Here is a 26585-nt window from a genome sequence, read left to right on the forward strand (position 1 = left end):
ATCTGAATCTTCTGATTTTTTTTTTTTTTTTTTTGAGACAGAGTCTTGCTCTGTTGCCCAGGCTGTAGTGCAGTGGCTCACTGCAACCTCCGCCTCCTGGGTTCAAGTGATTCTCCTGCCTCAGCCTCCTGAGTAGCTGGGACTACAGGCGCCCGCCCGGCTAATTTTTGTATTTTTAGTAGAGAAGGGAATAAAACTACTTTCTTTTAAAATTCTAACTTAAAATTTTTGGCTTGCAGATTCCAAGTTATCATCTCTGGGCAGGTAGTGGATGAAAAGGTAGAAAGGGTTTGTGTCACCAGAGGGGCATGTGACCTCTTGAGTTCTGAACCTGAGGTGATTCAGTGGAATGTCCTCGGGCATTCTGTAGCCTTCAATTTTAAAGAGTGGGATAAGGGACTGCGTCACCAGATAATGTGAGTAAAGTGCTTTTAGATCACCAGATGAAAAGCATTTTATAAAATCCCAAGGTGCTGGTGTTAGTTTGTTATTGTCATCAACAGAAATAATTGTTACTTTTAATCATATTGGGGCAGGTGGGGCTCAGTTACCTTAGGCCAATATAGGAATAATAAACTGTTGAATTGGGAAAAAAGAACCAACCCTATGCTATGCTTATTCAGTTTCTCATAGAGGGCATCATGGCTTTCTCTGCAAGAACATTTCTTACCCAGTGTTCTAATGGGTGATTCCAAAAGACCAAAAATTCAGCTTCTACCTCTTCAGGATTGTAACTAAAAAGCATAGAGGAGCAAAAGAAACACACAGAGAAAGAAAATGAGACTTGCTTTCCTAATTTTGAGGTTAATTTTTTTCTTTTTTCACTATAACAATAAACACTCTTCTTGTCCAAAGAGAAATCTTTGTTCTAGGACTGCCCTTCACTGCTGTGCCCTTGTTTGTGATTTTGATATTCTTGGTATTTGTTACTACCATCTATGTCAGGTGAGATGGGCCCCTTACAAGAGCTAGTCCTTTGATGTCCTTTGGCCAGGTGAAGCCATGTTCTGCTTCCAATCTGAACAGAGCAAAGGATTCTCAAGTCAGTTTTCCTCTGAATTCAGAGTCCCTTCTTACCCACATACATGTAAGTGAAATGGAAAACAGTCTTTCTTTCAGAAAGTACTTTTTAACAGCAGCCTGTGGAATTTTAGCCTTGGTGTCTAAGAAATACCCTGAAAGAATTCTCTGATAAAGATACTTGTTTTTCTCCAGGTGAGACACAGTAACCTGGTTGAACTCTGCATCTGGAAAGCTGAAGACTGAAGAAAGATAAGAGACATTGACTAGTCTGGAAACAGGGACATCTTTGGAACTTCGTTTTCATCCACAGTAAACTTTTGAAGTGTCATCAATTGGAATTGATTTCTTCATCTTATTCTGCCTATTGGGAAGAACATGGCTTCAAGGATTTTAAGTTTCCCTTTAGTTTTACATGAACTTTGTAGGAAACAGAGCCCTTAAAGGGCTTGGGAATAACAAGAAGAGATTGAAGACAGAGAAGCTTGCCCTGTTTTCCTTGCCCCTTCAAAGAAAAGGATTTACAGCTCAAACTTAGAACAGCTGTTGTCCAGCTTTAGCCATCAAGAGAGAAATAAATTAAACCACCATTGCCAGACTACAAGCCCTGGTGAAGTCAGGGTGTGGGAGTGGTGGCATTGAGAAGACTACCTAAAAGAGACAAAGACTGCAGTAAACAAAGCTCCTCTTTAAAGTTGGAAGGGGCCTCAGGTTCCTTCTTGGATTGAAATAGAAATAGAAACACAGGGCACACCTCTTTTAGGTGCAGCTCACATTTTATGGAACTGTAGTCGTGGAGGTACTATAGTATCTCAGAAGAATTTTTCTTTGCCCAAAGTTTTTTTGCCATACCCTGATATTCTCTCCTTCTTTTGAAGACCTGCCTCCATCCATGAGCTGTATCTTGATCTGTCTGACTGTCCATGTTTTCCACCTGCAACCATTTGCATGTGTACAGCCTACTGTTTGTCTCCAGTTTTTAAACTGTACAAGTTGTGTTTCTTAATCTTCCCTTCTGCCTTGTTCTGGGGAGGTGGTTATTCATCATTTGGAATCACCTTTCCCCCTCCCATGTGCTTTCCTTCATTTGAGATCTTTTGACCTTTGGCTTTATTTGGGAGGGGGAAGGGTGATAAAGTTTTCTGTTTCCCTGGTTTTCTTTTGTACTCCTCTCTGTTGCTTCCCTCCTCCCATTTTCTTGTCTGTTCTGCCGCTGTGTGGGCCTGGGCTATGCGGCAGGGCAGATTTCCCATCAGAGCTCCAACATGCCCGCAGAGTCTGGAAAGAGATTCAAACCCAGCAAGTATGTCCCGGTCTCTGCAGCCGCCATCTTCCTAGTGGGAGCTACGACACTCTTCTTTGCCTTTACGTGAGTTTTCTCCCAGCAGGGGTGTTTGGGTGGGTGGATACTCCATGGGAAGTGAGGAGATAACGCTTTCTCTTGAGTTTTGCAAAGCCAAGTGACTGAGAGGGCTCAGCGTCTGGTACAGGTAAATCCAAATCCCAGAGACATGTAAGAAAAATGAGAAAAAGCCTGTCCTTTCAGTCGTGTTATCAGTTTTACTTCGCTGAATCTTCTACCTACCCTTTCCTCCTTTATTTTGGAATCATAGATGTCTTCATATTTTTCTACCCAGCTCCATCATTAGATGATCCTAAGCTAGGAAGGAAGTGGGAGGAAACCACCAGAGAGGCTTAAAGCAGTTTAAGCAGTCAATTCTATGAGAAAGAGAACTAGACTAGACTAAAGGCTTTTTTTTGGAGGCAGCGTCTCTTGCTCTGTCACTCAGGCTGGAGTGCAATGTCGCGGTCTCGGCTCACTGCAACGTCCGCCTCCCAAGTTCAAGCGATTCTCCTGCCTCAGGCTCCTTAGTAGCTAGGATTAAAAGTGCCAACCACCACACCTGGCTAATTTTTTTTATTTTCAGTAGAGATGGGGTTTCACCATATTGGCCAGGCTGGTCTCAAACTCCTGAACTCAAGTGATCCATCCACCTTGGCCTCCCAAAGTGCTGGGATTACAGGTGTGAGCCACCATGCTGGGCCGACTAAAGCCTTTTTAAATGCTAATGGCTTTTTTCCAGGATGTCTGAAACTTAGGTTTGAGATTGTGGAAACTGAGAGTATTGGAAAATTTCAGAATTGATTTATAAGATACACCAATGAGAGAGTTTTGGCTTTTAGTGCTACCCAGATGGTTTTCTTTGTACTCTTAAGAACAGAAGCCTGGAGAAGTGAAGGCCACTGAGAAAGGAAAGGGTAAGTTGTATTTGGGAAGAGAGTCCTAAAAGAGTCCCTTTATGTTAGTTTCTGCCGAGGGAATGACAGTAATTTTCCCATTACTTGGTTCTGTTGGGAAAAGCAGTTGGTATGAAAAAATTTCCCATTTAGGATCTAGGATCTGCATCATTCTCACTTTGATCTTCAGACTTTCTTCATTTACTTGTTATTGGAAGAGACTGAGTGATTTAAACCTTCCCTTTTTCCTCAGTTTTTTTTTTTTTTTTATTAAGCTCTTGACCATCTGGAAGGCATCCTTGCTGTTACCTGTTTATAAATTAACATGTACCAGGCTTCTGAGCCTTATACTGTTGAGTCATTGATTTAGTGCTCTAGTTGCAGCTCTTGGAATCATCAGAGCATGCTGGATCTTCTGGGAAGTTACTTTGTCATGGTTCAGGCTCAAACCTAGTTGTGAAGTGTTATTCAGAGCAACATGAGGTTGCTGGAAAGAGGAAGAAGTGAATTGAAGTGGTAGGGAATAAAAACACTTGGGCTCATTGAAGTAGAGATTATTGGGGTGGAGGCAATTATACACAAGTTAAATCTGAGGTAGGAGGGAAGGAAAACTCCCCATATTTAGCTTTAGAAGCCAAAAGATATTCTGAAAAATGTGGGTCACATTGTCTAAAGAGTCAGCAAAGTAATACTGATGTATTTCTCTAGTTTTTAAAGAAGGAGAGAAAGAATCACTATCTAAGGCATGAACACCATCCTACTTCTCACCTCCTCTGAAGCAGAGAAGTTGTAGATTTTTTGGCCCCCAGCTCTGAGCTTGAGCATACCTGCTGGAGTCTCTCAAGGATCTAGAGACAGTGCTGCTTTTCTCTGACTTAATATTTTCTTCATAACCTTTTCCTCTTGCTTAAACTCAACATGTTCAGTGCTCTGTCCTTCTTCATACATTTACTACCAGAAAGAGGGGTGAGTCTTTGGTGTCAGAACTTGTTTTGGTTTTTGCTAATATGGCCAGGAAGTAGAATCAAAATTTTAACTAAGGGACATTTATATTATATCTTAGTATCCTGTAGCAATTTTGGTTCTGGGTCAAGAGGGGTATGTACAAGACCAGTTTGACACCCTTAACTCTGCTCAATTGGGGAGGGTCTATTTTCCTTTAAGAGGCAAAGCCTTTGGAGAAGGAAATTGAGGGGACTAAATGATTTCTGTCTTTCAAGCTCCCTCTTCTTGAGATAGAGCAAGCTGAATCCTTGTTTTTAATTTGCTAATCTGGAACCATTGAAGTGTTTGACTGGTTATACCAGTTTGCCTACAAAGAGTTGTCCTGACATAGGCATTTTCTCAACTGATAGTTGAAGCTGTTTAACCTACTTTCTCATTCCCTGGTGCCAGTAAAGTAGGAGCCCTCCTTATTCCATGGTCTCTTAGCTCTAGGAAAAAGGATTTTGGAGGACAATATTGACCTTATTTGGAATTATTGCCTCTCATCCAAAGTTAGAAGAACCCTAAGTCATAGCTGGAGTTCCTTCCCCCTGGCGCTAGTTTCCACAGGACCAATTTCTGGGCTCCATCTTTTCCTAAGCATCTCCCCTAGTCACCTTGTGGGGGCACAAACACACTGTTTATCTTACTCTAGCACCTAGCTCGGGTAATTCTGAAATTCTCATCTCCTCTTCTCCATCTGACTAGAGTATTTCCTCTGTAAGCATATATCTGGGCTGAGGCACCACTGTTCTTAAAAACTATCCTCTCATGTATTTTACCTCTTTCGAGGTTCAGTTCCCTGGAGAATCCCCTGTTTAAAACCATACAACCTAAAAAAGAGTTCAGGGTTTCAAATGGAGAGGCAAGAGGAAAACTCTCTGAACTAGCTCCTATGTGGGGCTGTAAATCTGTAACTACTCTATCATCCTCCTATTCTCTTCACTAGGCTACAACTAGCTACATTATTAGAAGCCCCAGGTGAGAATTACTTTGGGATATAGAGGAATGCGAGTAGGAGGGAGAGTCCCTTTCAGGTAACAGACATAATTAGTGGAGGCATGTAGACTTCAACTAGTTAGGAACAATTTACCTTCCATGTTTCTTTGTTAAGTTGGGGAAAGCTATGAGCAGAAATTACTAGTTGAGTTTGCATCAAAGAAATAGTGATCTGCCCCAGAGAATCTTGAACAGAACAGTTCAGGCCTTCCTCCTGGAACTCTAATCCCTCTCATTCCCTGAATTTGTCCAGCACTAAAACTAAGGAATGGTGGGGATCCTGTCTTAATTCTTCTCTGTTTTCACTATTTGGGAGGGAGAGTGTCTGCTGAAGTAACCTTCTACCTCCCAGTTAGTTACTAGACTTCATTTAGGATAACTACTTGGATGCTTATCTATCTTAGTTTAATCTTGTTTTTTGACTGGCAGAGGGGCAGTCCTAGGTAAGTGGGATAAGCCCTCTTTGGGGGAGGTCAGGAGATTGATTCTGGTGAAGTCTGTTAACCTTTGTGGACCTAAGTTCTTCCTGTTTACAGTGAGAACGTTGACCTACAGCAGTTTGTTTAAGCAACATGACCCTTTTTCAAATGAAATCTTATATACAAAAAAAAAAACCAACATAAAAATTAGGGCTGCTCTGGTTCAAGTGAGGCTGGCATATAGAGGCCCAGCCCCTTGGTATCGCCTCTTTACCGTGTAGGATCTCCTGAGACCTAGTGCTCCTGGTAACACCATTTCGAATCACTTTGAATTGTATCTTGTTTAAAGTCTCATCAAACTGTGAATTAGTCCAGTTAAGGTCTTATTTTATCCATTTCTAAAGCTGGTGGGAGGGGGCAGGATAAGATCTCTGCTTCACGTGATTTTTTTTTTTTTTTTTTTTTTTTTTTTTTGAGATGGAGTCTTACTCTGTCGCCCAGGCTGGAGTGCAGTGGCGCGATCTCGGCTCGCTGCAAGCTCTGCCTCCTGGGTTCATGCCATTCTCCTGCCTCAGCCTCCCGAGTAGCTGGGACTACAGGCACCCACCACTACACCCGGCTAATTTTTTGTATTTTTAGTAGAGAAGGGGTTTCACCGTGTTAGCCAGGATGGTCGTGATCTCCTGGCCTCGTGATCTGCCCGCCTCAGCCTCCCAAAGTGCTGGGATTACAGGCGTGAGCCACCACGCCCAGCCCCTATTTTATCCATTTCTAAAGCTGGTGGGGAGGGGGCAGGATAAGATCTCTGCTTCACGTGATTTTTTTTTTTTTTTTTTTTTGAGATGGAGTCTTACTCTGTTGCCCAGGCTGGAGTGTGGTGGTGTGATCTCGGCTCACTGCAACCTCTGCCTCCTGGGTTCAAGCGATTCTCCTGCCTCAACCTCCTGAGTAGCTGGAATTACAGGCGCCTGCCACTAAGCCCAGCTAATTTTTGTATTTTTAGTAGAGTTGGGGTTTCACCATAATGGCCAGGCTGGCCTCAAACTCCTGACTTCAGGTGATCCACCCACCTCGGCCTCTCAAAGTCCTGGGATTACAGTCGTGAGCCACCGCACCTGGCCACTTCACGTGATCTAAGGGAAGGATAAAGTCAGAGTTGTATGGAAATCCATGATGGTCTTTTCAGGCTCCCATCCATTATATAGTTTGCGGCTTTTCAGTTTCTGCCTCAGTCCTCTTCCAACCCTTTTACCCACAGGAAGTTGGCCGACCTCCATGGAGTTCTCTCTGGTCCCCCCTCCCCCGTAACTGCAGAGGTATTAGCACCTGATTTGAGTGGGAGCAGCCTTGTGATTTAGCACATTAATGGAGCAGTGGTTGTGCCTTTTCCTTCTCACATTGTTTTCTTATCCAGGAATAAGTGCCCAGGTCCTACGTCTCACATTCAGCTGGTTGAAAGTCTGGGTACCACAAATCAGGTGTTTTCAGAGAAACTGGGTTGCCCACCTGTAAAGGGAGAAATTGTTTTCTCATGGAATCTTGAGGAAAGGATTTCTAAATGAGGATCCCCATGGGCAGGAAGTGGAACATTCATTTCAGCCTTCTCTCATCAACAAGGAACACTAGTCATATGCTCAAGCAATATGCTAGGCATGGGCAGAATGCATAGACCTATTCTTTAGGAGCTTAGTGTCTCTGTTTTAAGTGTCCTTGAATTCCTAGTATTTCAGATAGGGGAAGGTAGAGGTGGAATAATTGATGATGATGATAATGATGGTGATAGTTAATAATGTTTTCTTTTGTCTTCTGTCCACTGAATGCTCAGTATCAAGCCAGCTAGTTTAAAAAGAATTCTAGCACTTTGGGAGGCTGAGACAGGCAGATCAGGAGGTCAGGAGATCGAGACCATCCTGGCTAACACGGTGAAACCCGTTCTCTACTAAAAATACAAAAAAATTAGCCAGGCGTGGTGGTGGGCGCCTGTAGTCCCAGCTACTCGGGAGGCTGAGGCAGGAAAATGGTGTGAACCCGGGAGGCGGAGCTTGCAGTGAGCCGAGATCGCGTCACTGCACTCCAGCCTGGGTGACAGAGCAAAACTCTGTCTCAAAAAAAAAAAAAAAAAAAATTCTAGCGGCTGGGAGCAGTGGCTCACACCTGTAATCCTAGTACTTTGGGAGGCTGAGGCGGGAGGATCGCTGAGCCCAGGAGTTCGAGACCAGCCTGGCCAACATAGTGAGACCTGTCTCTACAAAAAATAAGCAAAGTCAGCTGGTCATGGTGGCATGCACCTGTAGTCCCAGCTACTTGGGAGGGTAAGGCTGAAGGGTTGCTTGAATCTGGGAGGCAATTTTAGTGAGCCAAGCATGGGTGACAGAGCGAGACCCTGTCTCAAAAAAAATGAATTCTAATAACTTTTGAATGAAGATCTTTCTCCTTCATTCTCATGTTTGTACTATGTAGCTGAAGTAACAAGGTTGGAGAGTTTCATGTGGATTACCTAAGGCCTTGCATAGAGAAGTATTAATTGAGGCAGGATTAAAATCCAAAGATTCTTGACTCCTACTTTGTGTTTCTTTCTAAGAACTTAACCATTTTTTTGTAACAGGATGCATTAGGGAGTGCTCTGAAACAGGGTTTCAGGAGTGTGGATATTGGAATCCATTCTCCCAATTTTATTTATTTTTATTTTTTATTTTATTTTGTATATATATTTTGAGACGGAGTTTGGCTTTTACGCCCAGGCTGTCGTGAAGTGGCGCGATCTTGGCTCACTGCAACCTCTGCCCCCCGGGTTCAAGTGATTCTCTTGCCTCAGCCTCCCGAGTAGCTGGGATTACTGGTGCCCACCACCACGCCCGGATAATTTTTGTATTTTTAGTAGAGACAGAGTTTCACCATGTTGGCCAGGCTGGTCTCGAACTCCTGACCTCAGGTGATCCACTTACCTTGGTGTCCCAGAGTGCTAGGGTTACAGGCGTGAGCCACCATACCTGGCCCCACTCTGCCAATTTTATTTGGTCTTGAAAACAGGAGTGCTGAATGGATGGGCAGAAGAACCCGTTCTACCTGAGATGGTATAGGTCTGGTAGTCCTGTCAATGAGTCAGCCAGCCTTCTGGGCTGTGACCACTCCCTAGGCTTTTAGAGCTTTATGATTATTGCCATAGTCTAAGGACGAGCCCCAACATCTCCTGTTCTGAGCTCTGGCCTCATCTTCCATCAAAGGCAACAGATTCAGACAGGCCACTTGGGGTGGTCACCTAGGAATCTGGCAAAGTACCATAGCAACGGAAAGCCTCTCCTTAAATCAAGCAGAATTTGGGATATGGCAAGAACGGGCTCTGCTCACACATGCCTCTCCTTGGTGGGGTGTTCCCTTATAGTGCTGATTGGAAGCAATGGTTCTGTGAATCTAGGAGCAAATATTGTCCATGAAGTTGTTATTTGCATCATTTCTAGATTCTGGCACTGTGGGGGCAGACTTTATTTTGGCAACAGATACTGGAATTCCATTCCAGGATTACACACTTTATCTGGACCAAGTTGATATCCAGAAGGTTGTAGGGTAAAGTTCATCATCCAGGGATAGGTTGGCAGGATCCCCAAGAAACTGAGTTGCTTTGCCTAAAAATGAAACTGGCTGGGCATGGTGGCTCATGTCTGTAATCCCAGCACTTTGGGAGGCTGAGGCGGGCAAATCGCTTTGAGCTCAAGAGTTGAGTCCAGCCTGGGCAACATGGTGAAACCCTGTCTCTACAAAAAATTAGCCGGGCGTGGTGGTGTGCATCTGTAGTCCCAGCTACCCAGGAGGCTGGGGTGGGAGGATCACTGGAGCTCAGGAGTTTGAGGCTGCAGTGAGCTGTGATCTTGCCACTACACTCCAGCCTGGGCAAGAGAGCGAGACCCTGTCTCAAAAAACAAAACTGAAGAAAGAGTCGAGTCAGAAAGATTGACATGGGCCTGCAGGAGGTTTCATATCTTGTTCTTACTCTCATTAGTTTCTCTCAGAGATGGAAACTAAGGTGAATATTTCTTTCAGAAGCTCAAGAGGCCACAGTGGCCAGTTGTAGGAATGAGACTTTTAAATCATGGGCACCTCAGTGTTCTAAGGATTTAATTTCTTTTTCCCTTCTAATTATCTTCCCAGGCTGTAGGAGTCAAGTGAGTCACCCTTTCTCTTCTTCCCCAGGCGGAAATTGAAGTGACAACTTAGTACTAGGGAGGGGCTCTGACCTGGATGACTGGTTTTCAGTTTCTCTCCCTCCTTCTTAAGGAACCTAGGAGGTCAGGCTTTGGGGTGAGGCGGTGCAGGAACTCTTCTTTTTGCTTATATTCCACTCCAAACCCTGCCAATGTATGGAGACATCTTTTCTGAACCAAAGAACTCACAGAGGAAGAAGCTTCCATGGGGGGCTTTCTTTGAGGATAGTATAGAACTATGACTGAAGGTCTGTTTAGTCCCTAAAATTGATGCCCTTGCTCCAGCTTCGTTATTTTGTCTGCTAATTGTGTACTGACATATCAAGAGAACCAAACAGCTAATGGATATTTACTATCTAAAAAGCCTGGCATATAATAAATACTAAAAACTTTTCAAAATGAATGGCTGAATGGAATTTGAATAAATAGATGGTGGTGGTAAAGATTTGTGAGATGCTTTGTGACAGTTTTGTCTCTTATCTTGATTTGCTTGTATCTCGTTAAGGAACTGAGTTCCTCCAAACTGCTCTGAGTCAGTCTCAGGGCTGTGCTTTTTGTTTTGGTGGGTGCAGATACCTTTTCTTCACAGAATCCCAGACTGCTGTGGTTTAATTCTCTGGAATCATATGCTGTCTTGTTCTCCTGTCCTCTTCTTCCTTTCCTTCAGTGAGTTCTTCCTTTGCTTTGACTGGTTCAGATAAAGGGGACAAGGACAGATGCTGTCCTCATTCTGGAGATTAAGTTCTCAGCCACAAAGTAGATTAGAGTATTTATCCACTGTCTTGGTAGTGGGAACTTCTCCCTGAGCTGAGACGAGAGTGTTTGATACTACTGACAAAAAAGTAGCACATCAGGTTCTTCCAAAACTTCCAGCTCCCAGGAAATCAGCAGAGAAAGGAAGAGCTCTTGAAGCATTCCTACGTAGATTCAAATCCTGAAAGAAACTGAGTTTAATTCTGGACTAGAGAATTGTTTTTTTGATCAAGAAAAGTTACCTTAAAGCATATCTTGAGTTGACTGCTGTGGAATACTGGGTATGTTTGGGTAGTTTCTTTTTCCTACAAAATTGAGGGCTTCTTTGGTCTGATAGTCTCTATCCTCCCCCATTCCTGCTTCATTTTTAGACATCAAAGGGTTTACTTCTGTGTCTTGATATCCATTCTCATCTGTGTGTTTTAAAAGAATTTCCCAACCTTAAGAACTGGCCTGTAGTTGAGTAAACTCTCAGGCATATCCAATGCAATGGAGATACTTTAGGCACTTATGTGGTTCAGTCCCCTGGCAAGGGGGAGGCGGGGGCTAGAAAGGTAGGTGGTATCCCATGCTTTGGGCCAATGTGCAGGTCAATGGGACATAGCTGGGATCCAGAAACCTCAGGCTGCTCCAGAGAAGGGAGTGTAGCTGATATCATAGTCAGTACCTGGTTCTCATGTCTGGTTAGAAAGGAGATAAGGACAGATCTCAAAACATGTGGCAAGATCCACAGGGTAGGAATGAATCTGAAGCACAAAGACCTTAGTGCAACAGGTTAAGATGGGAGAGATTCTGAGTCTTGTACTTTTATCTAAAGTGAGCAGTTCCCATAGGAAACTAGACTCACTTAGTGGGAAAGATAAAGATAATAATTTGGGATGGCAAAGGTAAACCACACAAGATTTATCTATAGGTAAGGGGCTAAGTCTTTACAGATTTTTGTATGTATGGTTCGTGTCCAAAATATTAGAGGCAACCCCTCATTTTCTTTATTGTCTGTGCAGGTGTCCAGGACTAAGCCTGTATGTGTCACCTGCAGTGCCCATCTACAATGCAATTATGTTTCTCTTTGTGTTGGCCAACTTCAGCATGGCCACCTTCATGGACCCAGGGATTTTCCCTCGAGGTAAGATCTGCTTCTCTCTTAGAAGCACCTTACACTGCCTTTGAAAAATAATGAGTTGGCCATACACAGTTGATCTTGGGCCTTAAGAGTCCTGGGATTTTGGGATATGAAAAATAATGATTTGGGCATACGCAGTTGATCTTGGGCCTTAAAGTCCGGGGATTTTGGGATACTTTTATCATTTTCTGATGATGAAAATCAGGTCAGGGTCTTTAGGAATATATGTCATAACTTCTAGTCCTATGATTCACTTTGGGTCAAATCTTTGAGTTTTAGTGATTTGTTCAGCAGAAATTTATTTAAAGCATATGGGTTGGATGCTATTTTTAGGTACAGTAATACCCACAGTGAATTAAGACAGTTATGACAGTGTGATGCAGACTATAATGGAGGCAAGAGCAAGGTTCTGTGAGAATACAAACAATTGAGAACAAAGAAATATGAGAACATATTTTGCCCAAATAAATTGGGGAAATGCTGCTGAAAATAGGTGGGAAAGACTTTACCAAGTAGAATATAGGAGGGAAGGGCATTTTTAGGCAGAGGAAACAGCACATGCAGAAGCTTGTAGCCATGAAATGGCAAACTTAGTGGGGCTAGAGGATGTTATGCATGGTGTGACCAGAGGGATGGGAGGTAAACCCAGAGCCAAATTGTCAAGGACTTTACATACTAAGTTAAATAGATCATACATTTTCCTTTGGATAGGAAGAGGTCTTTAATTGGAGGACTCAACATCAGAATTCCTTTTAGAAAAATAATTCGTGTAAGAATTACAGCTACCTTTTGGGAGGCTGTGGAAATAAACCAGATGAGAACTTGAATTCAAGGCTGGATTTACAGATTTTTTAGTAGTAGACTCAATAATTTTTCATGACTTTTCATGATTTTATTGGGCAAGAGAGAGAAAGTGGAGGAATTATCTAGAGTAGTTTCAAGGTTCATAACTGGGAGATAAGTTGGATACTGATTTTTATAAACCTGAATATGAGATACAAGAATGTCAAACGGGTTTGGAGGGAAGACAGAAAATAAATACTCTTAGACATGTTGAATTTGATATACTTGAATCAGTCAGATAGTTACCCAGTGGGCAATTGAATAGTCAGTGTTGAAGACCTTGATTTAATAATCTTCATCCATGTGGTATTTGAAACAACAGGAGTAAGATTGTCCAGAGAAAATACTGTGAGATTATGAAAGAACTGAGGTTAGACCTGATCAGCACTGACATTTTTGTAACGATCAGAGGAGGAGGAAGAGCCATGAAGAAGGATTGAGTAAGAAGAGTTAGGAGGAGGAGAAATAGAACAAAGTGGGAACTAAGGAAAATTCATCAAATAGCCGATGGTTGGCAGTATTAGAAATTAGAGAGCTCCAATAGTATGGAAACTCAAATTTCCCATTTTTTTTGGTAACTAATAATTAATTTTTTTTTTTTTTTTTGAGACAGCGTCTCACTCTGTTGCCCAGGCTGGAGTGCAGTGGCGCAATCACGGCTCACTGCAGCCTTGACCCCCCCCTGGCTCAGGTGATCTCCCACCTCAGCCTCCAGAATTGCTGGGACTACAGGCGCGGGCCACCACACACAGCTAATTTTTCTATACCTATTCTTGGTAGAGATGGGGTTTCCATATTGGCCAGGCTGGTATTGAACTCCTGACCTTGTGATTCGCCTGCCTCAGCTTCCCAATGTGCTGGGATTATAGGCGTGAGCCACCGCGCCTGGCCCAAAATTACTCTTTTAAGAAGTAAGCTGGCTGGGCACAGTGGTTCATGCCTGTAATCCCAGCACTTTGGGAGGCTGAGGTGGGCAGATCACCCGAGGTCGGGAGTTTGAGACCAGCCTGACCAACATGGAGAAAACCCATCTCTACTAAAAATACAAAAAATTAGCCGGGTGTGGTGGCACATGCCTGTAATCCCAGCTACTCGGGAGGGTGAGGCAGGAGAATTGCTACGGGAGGAGAGAGTTTTTTAGGATACAGAATTTAGCTTGTTTGTAGCATGCAGAGATGGAACCAGAGGAGAGAAGCTGAGGTTGAAGAAAGGTGATAATTGAAATTGGACTTTTAGAGGAAGGAGATGCTTTCCAGTACATTTCTGAAGGTTATGCTTGCAGAAGAAGTAGGCTCTTTCTGGAATAGGAGGGGAGAGAACCATCATCAGTGGACTAAAAGGTAGAAAGAAAATAAGTTGACAAAGGTTGTCACTGATGACATGTAGTTTTCCTCTCAAATGTGAGGTTATTTTGCAAGAGTGAGACAAGTAGTTTCGGGCTGGCAACTCTGCTGAGATGAAGTTTTTCTGAAATTCACTGTAGGCTTGGCGTGGTGGCTCACATCTTAATCCCAGCACTTTGGGAGGCCAAGGTGGGCAGATCACCTGAGGTCAGGACTTTAAGACCAGCCTGGTCAACATGGTAAAACCCTGTCTTTACTGAAAAATACAAAAATTAGCCCGACATGGTGGTGGGTGCCTGTGATCCCAGCTACTTGGGAGGCTGAGGCAGGAGAATCGCTTGAGTGGGGGAGGCAGAGTTTGCAGTGAGCCGAGATTGTGCCATTGCACTCCAGCCTGGGCAACAGCAAGACTCCGTCTCAAAAAGAAAGAAAAAAAGAACTTCATTGTGCTCCCAAAGCCTACATCATTGTGCTTTGTTTGTGACTTCCCTTCAAAGATTGGGTGAGGGAAAAGAACTTTGTGTCCCTAAAGCCAAGAAAGGCTATTTTAATGAGCCTTTAATGTTCATTCATCAAATATTTATTGATGTATTATGGAAGGCACTATGATGGTCATTTGGGGTTTTTAAGAAGGTCATTGCTGGCCGGGCGTGGTGGCTTACGCCTGTAATCCCAGCACTTTGGGAGGCCAGGGCGGATCACTTGAGGTCAGGAGTTCGAGACCAGCCTGGCCAACATGGCGAAACCCCGTCTCTACTAAAAATATAAAAATTAGCCAGGCATGGTAGTGCACGTGCCTGTAACCCCAGCTCCTTGGAAGGCTGAGACAGGAGAATTGCTTGAACCTGGGAGGTGGAGGTTGTGATGAGCCGAGATTGCCCCATTGCACTCTAGCCTGGGCGATAAGAGCAAAACTCCATCTGAAGAAAAGTAAATAAAAAATAAAAAGGTCATTCCTTTCAAATAGCTCAGACTAGAAAGGAAGATAGGAAGACACCTCTATAAACAAATACACCGTGGGCCGGGTGCCGTGACTCACGCCTGTAATCCCAACTCTTTGGGTGGCCCAGGTGAGTGGATCACCTGAGGTTGGGAGTTCGAGACAAGCCTGACCAACATGGAGAAACCCTGTCTCTACTAAAAATACAAAATTAGCCGGGCGTGGTGGCGCATGCCTGTAATCCCAGCTACTCGGGAGGCTGAGGCAGGAGAATCGCTTGAACCCGGGAGGTGGAGGTTACTGTGAGCTGAGATTGCGCCACTGCACTCCAGCGACAGTGTGAGACTACATCTCAAAACAAACAAACAAAAAACAAATACATTGTGTAAGAGTAATCAAAGAGATCACTTCTGGTAGATGATGATGTAGAAGGATCAGACATTTCAAAATAAGGAGCATTGCAACTGGGCATGCTGGTGCCCACCTGCGGTTCCAGCTACTTGGGAGGCTGAGGTTGGAGGATCAGTTGAGCCCAGGAGTTCAGGGCTGCAGTGAGCTGTGGTCGCAGCACAGCACTCCAGCCTGGGTGATAGAGCAAAACTCTCTTAAAAGAAAAATAGCATTTGAATTTTTTCCCTTTAAAAGAAAAAAATCTTTTTTTTTTTGAGACAGAGTCTCACTCTCTGTTGCCCAGGCTGGAGTGCAGTGGCTCCATCTCGGCTCACTGCAAACTCTGCCTTTCGGGTTCAAGCAATTATTCTACCTCAGCCTCCCGAGTCGCTGGAATTACAGGAGCGTGCCACCGTGCCTGGCTAATTTTTGTATTTTTAGTAGAGATGGGGTCTCACCATGTTGGCCAAGCTACTCTGGAACTCCTGACCTCAAATGATCCACCTGCCTCACCCTCCCAGAGTGCTGGGATTACAGGCATGAGCCACTGTGCCTGACCAAAAGAAAAAATCTTTTATTTAAAGATTTCAATAAGTAGTGCACATTCATTATGTACGAAGTACAAAAAAGGCAAAACATTACCTATAATTTCACAGACCAGAGCTAACTACTGTTATATTGTGGTATATATCCTTGCAATATTTTGAAGACTTAAAAAATATATGTGTATATTTATGTATACCATGTATCTGCAGTATATATTTGTGTGTGTGTGTGTTTTTTTTTTTTTTCCAGACAGTGTCTTACTCTGTCACCAAGGCTGGAGTGCAGTGGCATGATCTTGGCTTACTGCAACCTCTGCCTCCCAGATTCAAGCCATTCTCCTGCCTCAGCCTCCCAAGTAGCTGGGATTACAGGCGTGTGCCACCACCCCTGGTTAATTTTTATATTTTTTGTAGAGATGGGGTTTCGCCATTTTGGCCAGGCTGGTCTTGAACTCCTGGCCTCAAGTCATCTGCCCTCCTTGGCCTCCCAAAGTGCTGGGATTACAGGCATGAGCCACCGTACCCAGCTGTACAGTTCTTTACCTAGCATTTCTTGTGATGTAAATATGAAAAAATGCTATGTAAAGAAATCAGTAAAATTTGAAAACTTAATTTTTAATTCCACACTATCATCTATTTAATTTTTCCTTCCCACATTTTTTTTTTCTAGGTTAATAATAAAAATTGCTCTGGGTGCGGTGGCCCATGCTTGTAATCTTAATACTTTGGGAAGCTGAGGCAGGTGGATTGCCTGAGCTCAGGAGTTTGAGACCAGCCTGGGGAACACGGTAAAACCCCGTCTCTATTAAAAATACAAAAAATTAGCTGCCGAAGTGGCGTGCGCCTGTAATCCCAGCTGTTTGGGAGGCTGAGACAGAAGTATCACTTGAACCCGGCAGGTGGAGGTTGCAGTGAGCCAAGATCACGCCCTTGCACTCCAGCTTGGGTAACAGAGCAAGACTCCGTCTCAAGAAAAAAAAAATTGCTAACTGTATATGAGAAGGCAAATAATGTCTTTTAAGTTTTGAAATGGGATGGTGGGTTTCTGATAGCTGAAAATTGAGAGAAAGGGCATTTATGCTTGTGCAACAAATAATACTGAAATACGTATATGTAGAGAAAATTCATAGAGTAGGGGAAGACATTTTGGGAAAGTTTTTTTTTTTTTTTTTTTTTTTTTTAAGATGAAGATGAAGTCTTGCTGTGTTGCCCAGGCTTGAGTGCAGTGGCGTGATCTCAGCTCACTGCAACCTCCACTTCCCGGGTTCAAGCGATTCTCTTGCCTTAGCCTCCTGAGTAGCTGGGACTACAGGTGCATGCCACCACACCAGGCTAATTTTTGTGTTTTTAGTAGAGACGAGGTTTCACCATGTTGGCCGTGCTGGTTTTGAACTCCTGAGCTCAGGCAATCCGCCCTTCTCGGCCTCCCAAAGTGTTGGGATTACAGGCGTGAGCCACCATGGTTGGCTGGGCAAAGGATTCGTGCCTGGAAAAAAAGGTTGATGTTAGTTCCTCTCTTGGATTGCTATAGTTCACTCATATAAATGTAGATACTGAACTCTTATGCAAACTCATTATGTATGTGCTTTGATATGTAAACTATTTCTTTAAAATATATTCATATACTTAAACCAAATAACACCAGCAGATGCATACAAGAGCTACCTCTTGAGTCATTTTATCTCGAACCTCACTTCCCAATGCAGAATAAATTGCTCCCTCATCCATGTTCCCATAGTGTTGTATAAAGACCTGACCTCACAGTCTTATAGTTCCTAGTTCCTAGTCTCACTCATTAGACTGTGAATTCCTCAAAGGCAGAAGCTATATTTTAAACATCATTGAATCCCTAGCACTTACTACAGTTCTGGCATAGTTGTTTTTAATTGACTTTTCCTCTCTACAGCTGAGGAGGATGAGGACAAGGAAGATGATTTCCGAGCTCCCCTTTACAAAACAGTGGAGATAAAGGGCATCCAGGTGCGCATGAAATGGTGTGCCACCTGCCGCTTTTACCGTCCCCCTCGATGTTCCCACTGCAGTGTCTGTGACAACTGTGTGGAGGTAAGCACCCTGGGTGGGGTAAGACTTCATGCTTAACCTTCATTGTCTTCATCCTAACCATATAATAGATTCTTAGCTTTGGATGTGGTATAGTCCTGTCTAACTACGTTGGCCACATGGTCCAGCTCTGTCAAATGGTGTTAATAATGACATGGCATGAGAGGCAGAGCATAAATATTATTGCAGGAGGGAAGCTTTAACTCAATATGGGCATAGGCTTTCTTTTTTATTTATTTTTACTTTTTGTAGTGATGAGGTCTCACTGTGTTGCTTGGACTATCTCAAATTCCTGGCTTCAAGTGATCCTCATGCCCTGGCCTCCCAGAGTGCTGAGTGCTGGGATTACAGGCATGAGCCATTGCACTAGCAGGGTGTAGGCTTTCTTGACACCAAGATTTATAGTTCTAGCCTTCTATCTATTGGCTCAGTTTTGGTTATTTATCCTGGCTTTGCATTTTCTCTTCCAGAAAATCATGCTGTTGTGTTTCAATTTGTTGTAGTTGTTTTCCTGCCTGTCCTTCTGCATCCCTTGTCCTTTTTCCATTCCATTTTCACTTAGCTATAAGCAGTTACCTGCCAAATCTTCCTTCTAATCCTCTTTTCTTATGAATCTTGATGTTTCTGCAAAACCTCTGACATTCGTCACTTTTAGAGTTCCTTGGTCACATAGGATAAACATTGAGAGCCGGCCTTGGTCTTTTTTATATATATATATATTTATTTATTTATCGAGACGGAGTCTCGCTCTGTTGCCCAGGCTGGAGTGCAATGGCGCAATCTCGGCTCACTGCATCCTCCGCCTCCCGGGTTCAACCGATTCTCCTGCCTCAGCCTCCTGAGTAGCTGGGATTACAGGCACGCGCTACCACGCCCGGCTAATTTTTGTATTTTTAGTAGAGATGGGGTTTCACCATGTTGGTCAGGCTGGTCTTGAACTCCTGACCTCGTGATCTACCCGCCTCGGCCTCTCAAAGTGCTGGGATTACAGGCGTGAGCCACCGCGCCCGGCCAATTTTTTTTTTTTTTTTTTTTTAAGAGATGGGGTCTTGCTATGTTGCCCAGTACAGTGGCTATTCACAGGCAGTCATCATAGTTCACTACAGCCTTGAACTCCTGGGCTCAAGCCCCAGCCCCCCAAGTAGCTGGGACTACAAGTGTGCACCACTACGCCTGGTTGGCCTTGGCCTTTGACCAACCTCTGGAAGGTCTCCCTTGCAGATTTATAGAGCAAAATAAACTGGATTTAATTTTGAACTAATTGGTGACCATGATCAAAACTTAGCTGCCATTTGTTTCTCTTCTTGACAGAAGTAATTTAATGCTATGGTCCAGGGATGCCTCTCATCTGTCTCTCTTTGTCCCTAGGAATTTGATCATCACTGCCCCTGGGTGAATAACTGTATTGGTCGCCGGAACTACCGTTATTTTTTCCTTTTCCTCCTTTCCCTGACAGCCCACATTATGGGTGTGTTTGGCTTTGGCCTCCTTTATGTCCTCTACCACATAGAGGAACTCTCAGGGGTCCGCACGGCTGTCACGTATCCTTCAAGGCCTTTTAGATTGTGGGATTGGAAGGGGGAGGAATGAGGGCTAAAGGGAAAATGGCTGCAGTAGGGGCCGGGGAAAGTGAGGTCATGTTGCTCTGTTCTCCTTGATTGTTTGGCATCAGAATGGCAGTAATGTGTGTGGCTGGCTTATTCTTCATCCCTGTAGCTGGCCTCACGGGATTTCACGTGGTTCTGGTGGCCAGGGGACGCACAACCAATGAACAGGTATGGAGAAAAGTGACGAGAGACCCCTGAAGAGCAGGTCATGTCTCTTTAGCCTTCTGATTAGTGTGCAGTGTAGTGCTTCCACAAAGAGATGCTTAATGAATACTTTTCATGATTATGTAGAGATTAATGGTAGGGAGTGAGGTAGTCCTAGTTCCTCATGTAAGTGTAGAGGCCATGTAAGAATAGAGGCCATTTCTCACATATACACCATGGAATACTATGCAGCCATAAAAAAGGATGAGTTCTTGTCCTTTGTAGGGACATGGATGAATCTGGAAACCATCATTCTGCGCAAACTGTCGCAAGGACAGAAAACCAAACACCGCATGTTCTCACTCATAGGTGGGAACTGAACAATGAGAACACTTGGTCACGGGGTGGGGAACATAACACCCTGGGGCCTGTTGTGGGGCAGGGGGAGCGGGGAGGGATAGCATTAGGAGATATACCTAATGTAAGTGACGAGTTAATGGGTGCAGCACACCAACATGGCACATGTATACATATGTAACAAACCTGCATGTTGTGCATATGTACCCTAGAGCTGTAAGTATAATAATAATAAAGATACTCTCAAAGAGATACTAAGACAATAGAGATAAAGGCTGAATTTTGCCCTAAAATATCTTTTTTTATTTTTTATTTTTTTGAGACAGAGTCTTGATCTGTCGCCCAGGCTGGCATCCAGTGGCGTGATCTTGGCTCACTGCAACCTCTGCCTCCTGGGTTCAAGCGATTCTCCTGCCTCAGGCTCCCAAGTAGCTGAGATTACAGATGTGCATCACCACGCCCAACTAATTTTTGTATTTTTAGTAGAGACAGGGTTTCACCATGTTGGCCAGGCTGGTCTCGAACTCCCGACCTCAGGTGATCCACCCACCTCAGCCTCCCAAAGTGCTAAAATATCTTTTATTTATTTATTTATTTATTGTAATTTTAGTAGACACGGGGTTTCACCATGTTAGCCAGGATGGTCTCGATCTCTTGACCTCGTGATCCGCCCACCTCGGCCTCCCAAAGTGCAGGGATTACAGGCATGAGCCACTGCGCCCAGCCTAAAAATATATTTTATAACAAAATAATATCTATCTCCAAAGAAAGTCTTGGATGGTTTGGCATCATCACCTGAAATATCAATTGAGAGACCCAAACCAAACTGAAACTAGACAATATAGCATAAAGAATAAGATGATAGTTTTTTAAACAATACTCACCATAGAACTTGGTATCCAAATAATAGTATTCTTTCTTTAGTTTGTCAAAAATCATATTAATAGATTTTTAAATTTAAAGTGTAGCAAGACATATGTATATGTACATATATGTTCATATACATATAAATATTTAAGATCTTCCTAAAAAAAAAAAAGAATAGAGGCCACTTCTTAGTTAACAGACATTTACTATATGCCCACTGGATACTGGAGAATTTAGGCTCTGAGTTTATAGAAACAATGAAAGACTTAGGCTAGCCCTCAAGAAGCTTATAGTGCTGCTTACAGGAAAGCAATGATTTTTGTGCATATAATAGTAGCTAACCTTAATTGCTTTTTTTTTTTCTTTTTTGAGACAGAGTATCGCTTTGTCACCCAGGCTGGAGCCCACTGGCTGGAGCCCACTGGCTGGGGCGCAGTGGCACGATCTCGGCTCACTGCAACCTTTGCCTCCTGGCTTCAAGCAATTCTCCTGCCTCAGCTACCCAAGTAGCTGGGATTGCAGGTGCCTGACACCATGCCCGGCTAGTTTTTATATATTTTTATAGTAGAGATGGGGTTTTGCCATGTTGGCCAGTTTGGTCTCAAATTCCGGACCTCAGGTGATCCACCTGCCTCAGCCTCCCAAAGTGCTGGGATTACAGGTGTGAGCTGCCATGCCCAGCCCTTAATTGCTTATTCTTTATCTTAGTTTTCAATATTTAGAAAGCTATCCCATTTTACATGAGGAAACTGAGGTTTTGGGTCAGCAACCATGAGGTAGACCTAGGATTTGAACTAAGGACCCTGACTGTAGATTCCCTGCTCTTAACCATAACATATATAAATTTCTTGTGTTTTACTCATTTGCATAGCCCTCAGATAGTGAGTGCACAATAACTTGTAATAGATTTGTATTTTGGCCTTTGGAAGTCAAGGTCTCATCTTCTAACCTGGTATTTTTTTTCTCCCTCTAGGTTACGGGTAAATTCCGGGGAGGTGTGAACCCCTTCACCAATGGCTGCTGTAACAATGTCAGCCGTGTTCTCTGCAGTTCTCCAGCACCCAGGTACACCTATCCCTCTGGTCTAGTGTTTACCATTGGTCAGAACTTTTATCTTCTTTGGGCTTGTTCTGGTAAAGGAGGGGTCTGGTGAGAGCCTTTAGGAAGGGTTCTCTATCTTAGAATGTTAAGTACCCACTCTATCTTAGAATGGTAAGTAGTCTATCTTAGAATGGTAAGTACCTACATGCCCATCCTTTAGTGCAGTGGTCCCTAACCTTTTTGGCAGCAGGGACCGGTTTCATGGGAGACACTTTTTCCACAGATGGGGGCTGGGGTGGGGTGGTTTCAGGATGAAACTGTTCCACCTCAGATCATGAGGCATTAGATTCTCATGGCTGGGTGTGGCGGCTCACACCCAGCACTTTGGGAGGCCGAGGTGGGCGAATCACTTGAGGTCAGAAGTTCAAGTCCAGCCTGGCCAATATGGTGAAACCCCTTCTCTACTCAAAATACAAAAATTAGCTGGGCAAGGTGGCAGGCACCTGTAATCCCAGCTACTTGGGAGGCTGAGGCAGGATAATTGCCTGAACCCAGGAGGCAGAGGTTGCAGTGAGCTCAGAGCACACATACAACCTAGATTGCTTGCATGTGTAGTTTACAACAGGGTTCTAGGGTTTGCGCTCCTAAGAGAATCTAATGCCTCCGCTGATCTGACAGGAGATGGAGCTCAGGTGATAATGCTCACTGGCCCACTGCTTACCTCCTGCTATGTGGCCCAGTTCCTAACAGGCCATGAACCGGTACTGGTCTGCGGCCCAGGGGTTGGGGACCCCTGCTTTAGTGGACACTGTGAATTCCATTGATATTCTTCAGGTATTAAGGTAAATCTTTGAGAATTGAGGGTGAATAAGATACACTCTAAAGTGCTTTCCTTGAGCTAGGTATCTGCTCACAAAGGCCTAGTCCTGCTGCAGTCCTTCACAGAATCAATTCTGTTTATTGCTAAGTAAGTGATGGCCAAAACTGCAATTACTTTTTTACCAACCTAATAAAAATGGTTTACAGAAACAGTAGATACTTTAAAATATAAATGAATGAAAGCTCTCTCGCTGTGTCTCTCTCTCTCTCTCTCTCGACACTTAGGTATTTGGGGAGACCAAAGAAAGAGAAGACAATTGTAATCAGACCTCCCTTCCTTCGACCAGAAGTTTCAGATGGGCAGATAACTGTGAAGATCATGGATAATGGCATCCAGGGAGAGCTGAGGAGAACAAAGGTGAGGAATTTAGAGAAGTCAAGCTAGATAACATGGAAGTCTCACCCAAGGCAAAGAGACGGAAGCTTGCTTTAGTTTCCTTTGTGTTTTTTTTTTTTTTTTTGAGACAGAGTCTTGCTCTGTTGCCCAGGCTGGAGTGCAGTGGTGCTCAGTGCAAACTCTGCCTCCCAGGTTCAAGCAATTCTCCTGCCTCAGCCTCCCGAGTAGCTGGGATTACAGGTGTCCGTCACCTTGCCTGGCTAATTTTTGTATTTTTAGTAGAGATGGGGTTTTGCCATGTTGGCCAGGCTGGTCTCGAACTTCTGACCTCAGGTGATCTGCCCACCTCGGCCTCCCAAAGTGCTAGGATTACAAGCATGAGCCACCACGCCTGGCCCATATTTCTTACAGTGTTTATCACTTACTAATTTGGGTTAAAATTACTTAAATACAAATCTTGTTTTCTACATTAGATTTTTTTTTTTGAGAGGGAGTCTTGCTCTGTTACCTAGGCTGGACTCCAGTGGTATGATCTCAGCTCACTGCAACCTCTGCCTCCCAGGTTCAAGCGATTCTCGTGCCTCAGCCACCTGGGTAGCTGGGACTACAGGCATGCGCCACCACGCCTGGCTAATTTTTTTATTTTCAGTAGAGGCAGGGTTTTCCTATGTTGGCTAGGCTGGTCTCAAACTCCTGACCTGAAGTGATCCAACCCCCTCAGCCTCCCAAAATGCTAGGATTATAGGTGTGAGCCACTGCACCCGGCCCTACATTAGACTTTAAGTTCATTAACAATAGAAAATGAATTCATTCATTTCCATGTCTTCATAGGACTTAACAGCTTACAGCTAGATGGTAGGAGCTAAACAAGTAGTTGTTGGTTTAAATGGGCAAATAAGTGACAGAATTAAAACCTTTTTTAAACCCTTTCTTCTGCCAGGTACAGTAACTCATGCCTATAATCCCAGCACTTAGCGAGGCTGAGGTGGGAAGATCGCTTGAGTTCAGGAGCTCAAGACCAGCCTGGACAACATAGCGAGACTCCATCTCTAAAACAGACTAAAATAAAAAATAGAAAAATTTTCTGGCTGGGCGTAGTGGCTTATGCCTGTAATCCCAACACTTTGGGAGGCTGAGGTGGGTGGATCACCTGAGGTTGGGAGCTCGAGACCAGCCTGACCAACATGGAGACACCCTGTCTCTATTAAAAATACAAAATTAGCTGGGCATGGTGGCGCATGCCTGTAGTCCTAGCTACTTGGGAGGCTGAGGTAGGAGAATTGCTTGAACCCGGGAGGCGGAGGTTGCAGTGAGCCGAGATCATGCCATTGCACTCCGCCTGGGCAACAAGACCGAAACTCCATCTCAAAAAAAAATTAGCCAGGTGTGGTGGCACATGCCTGTAATCCTAGCTGCTTGGGAGGCTGAGGCATGAGAATCGCTTGAACCTGCGAGCCAGAGGTTGCAATGAGCCGTGATCACGCCACTGCACTCCAGCCTGGGTGACTGAGCAAGACTCCATTTCAAAAAAAAAAACCCAACTTTTCTTCATCTAATGCTATACCCAAACTGATTCTTGTGCCTTGTCTTCCAGTATAGTTGAGAAATATATGATAGGCAGTGGCTCATGTCTATAATCCCAACATTTAGGGTGGCCAAGGTGGGGTGATATTGCTTGAGGCCAGGGGTTCAAGACCAGCTTGGGCAACATGGCGAGACCCCCATCTCTACAAAATAAAGTAAAATAAATTAACTGGGTGTGGTGGCATGTGCCTGTAATCCCAGCTACTTGGGAGGCTGAGGTGGGAAGAGCACTTGAGCCTAGGAGTTGCAGGCTGCAGTGAACATGATCATGCGTACCACTGTACTCCAGCCTGGTCAACAGAGTGAGACCTTGTCTCAAAAAAAAAAAAAAAATACATGAGAATTGACTCCCAAATACCTCCCTCTTATATCAATTTAATACTTTGAGTTGCCATAATGCTCAATTTCTAAATCTGATTTTCCCTCCCTTCATCAATCCAGTCTAAGGGAAGCCTGGAGATAACAGAGAGCCAGTCTGCAGATGCTGAACCTCCACCTCCTCCTAAGCCAGACCTGAGCCGTTACACAGGGTTGCGAACACACCTCGGCTTGGCTACTAATGAGGGTAAGGGCTGCCTTGATTTGCAAGATACTAGAACTAGGGGCAGGATTGAGAAGGTTGCTTATGAGCTGTGGAAGACAGGCAAGGGCTGGGAGATATTACTCGTGTTGTGACTTTAAACACCCAACAGTTGGTACTTGTGCTACTTTGCAACTGAAAGAGAAGAGAGGCCATTTAGCTATTGGCAGTGAATGGGACTTTTGCCGGGAAAATGGTCAGCCTCTAGGCAGACCAGAGAACATCACAGAACCTTTTTGGTGCATTTACCCACCCTGAATTCTGGGCTGGTGTGAGTCTTTAAAAGTCTTGATTTCAGCGAAGGGTATATCTATTCCTACCTTGTCCTCTCCCTGTACTTAAGGAACCCTAGGCAGATAAAGTGAACAACTCATAGACTAGACGCAGTGGCTCACACCTGTGATCCCAGCACTTTGGGAGGCCAACGCAGGAGGATTGCTTGAGCCCAGGAGTTCAAGACCACCCTGGGCAACATAGCAAGACTCTGTCTCTACAAAAAATTTAAAAAAGTTAGCTGGGCATGGTGGCATATGCCTGCAGTCCCAGCTACTCAGGAGGCTGAGGTGGGAGCCCAGGAGTTCAAGGCTCCAGTGAGCTATAATCGTGCCACTGCACTCTAGCTTGGACAGTAGAGTGAGACCCTGTCTCTTAAACCAAAAAACCGCTTGTAAAATAGTGCCCCCTTGGCCTTTTTTCTTGCAGATAGTAGCTTATTGGCCAAGGACAGCCCCCCGACACCTACCATGTACAAGTATCGGCCGGGTTACAGTAGCAGCAGTACGTCAGCTGCCATGCCGCATTCCTCCAGCGCCAAGGTACTGAGTACTCTAAGAGGTGGGGTAATAACATGCCAACTGGCCAGGCACAGTGGCTCATTCCTGTAATCCCAGCACTTTGGGAGCCCAAGGTGGGTGGATCACAAGGTCAAGAGATTGAGACCGTCCTGGCCAACATGGTGAAACCCCGTCTCTACTAAAAATACAAAAATTAGGCCAGGCGTGGTGGCTCACGCCTGTAATCCCAGCACTTTGGGAGGCCGAGACTGGTGGATCACAAGGTCAGGAGTTCGAGACCAGCCTGGCTAATGTGGTGAAACCCCATCTCTACTAAAAATACAAAAATTGCCGGGCACAGTGGCTCACGCCTGTAATCCCAGCACTTTGGGAGGCTGAGGCAGGTGAATCACGAGGTCAGGAGATTGAGACCATCCTGGCTAACATGGTGAAACCCCGTCTCTACTAAAAATACAAAAAAATTAGCCAGGCATGGTGGCAGGTGCCTGTAGTCCCAGCTACTCGGGAGGCTGAGCCAGGAGAATGGCGTGAACCCAGG

The 26585-nt window shown here is 44.3% G+C and overlaps 1 protein-coding gene across 5 annotated transcripts in view; it reads left to right on the forward strand.

Moving 5' to 3' along the window:
- Positions 1–26585, forward strand: part of ZDHHC5 (zDHHC palmitoyltransferase 5) — a 33069-nt gene that overhangs the window by 2692 nt on the left and 3792 nt on the right. For 4 of the 5 annotated variants that reach the window (XM_011544900.2, NM_015457.3, XM_011544901.2 and 1 more), the window contains exons 2-10: positions 1216–2389; positions 11617–11738; positions 17703–17860; positions 19226–19398; positions 19530–19632; positions 21806–21897; positions 22978–23110; positions 25115–25238; positions 25956–26068. In XM_011544900.2, the coding sequence (XP_011543202.1) occupies positions 2286–2389; positions 11617–11738; positions 17703–17860; positions 19226–19398; positions 19530–19632; positions 21806–21897; positions 22978–23110; positions 25115–25238; positions 25956–26068 (1122 nt within the window). In that variant the 5' untranslated portion in view covers positions 1216–2285. The remainder of the gene's footprint in view (positions 1–1215; positions 2390–11616; positions 11739–17702; positions 17861–19225; positions 19399–19529; positions 19633–21805; positions 21898–22977; positions 23111–25114; positions 25239–25955; positions 26069–26585) is intronic. The other variant, XM_047426724.1, reaches the window with a different exon arrangement.

The sequence above is a fragment of the Homo sapiens genome, chromosome 11, assembly GCF_000001405.40.
Source record: "Homo sapiens chromosome 11, GRCh38.p14 Primary Assembly".
In the NCBI taxonomy this organism is placed as follows: domain Eukaryota; kingdom Metazoa; phylum Chordata; class Mammalia; order Primates; family Hominidae; genus Homo; species Homo sapiens.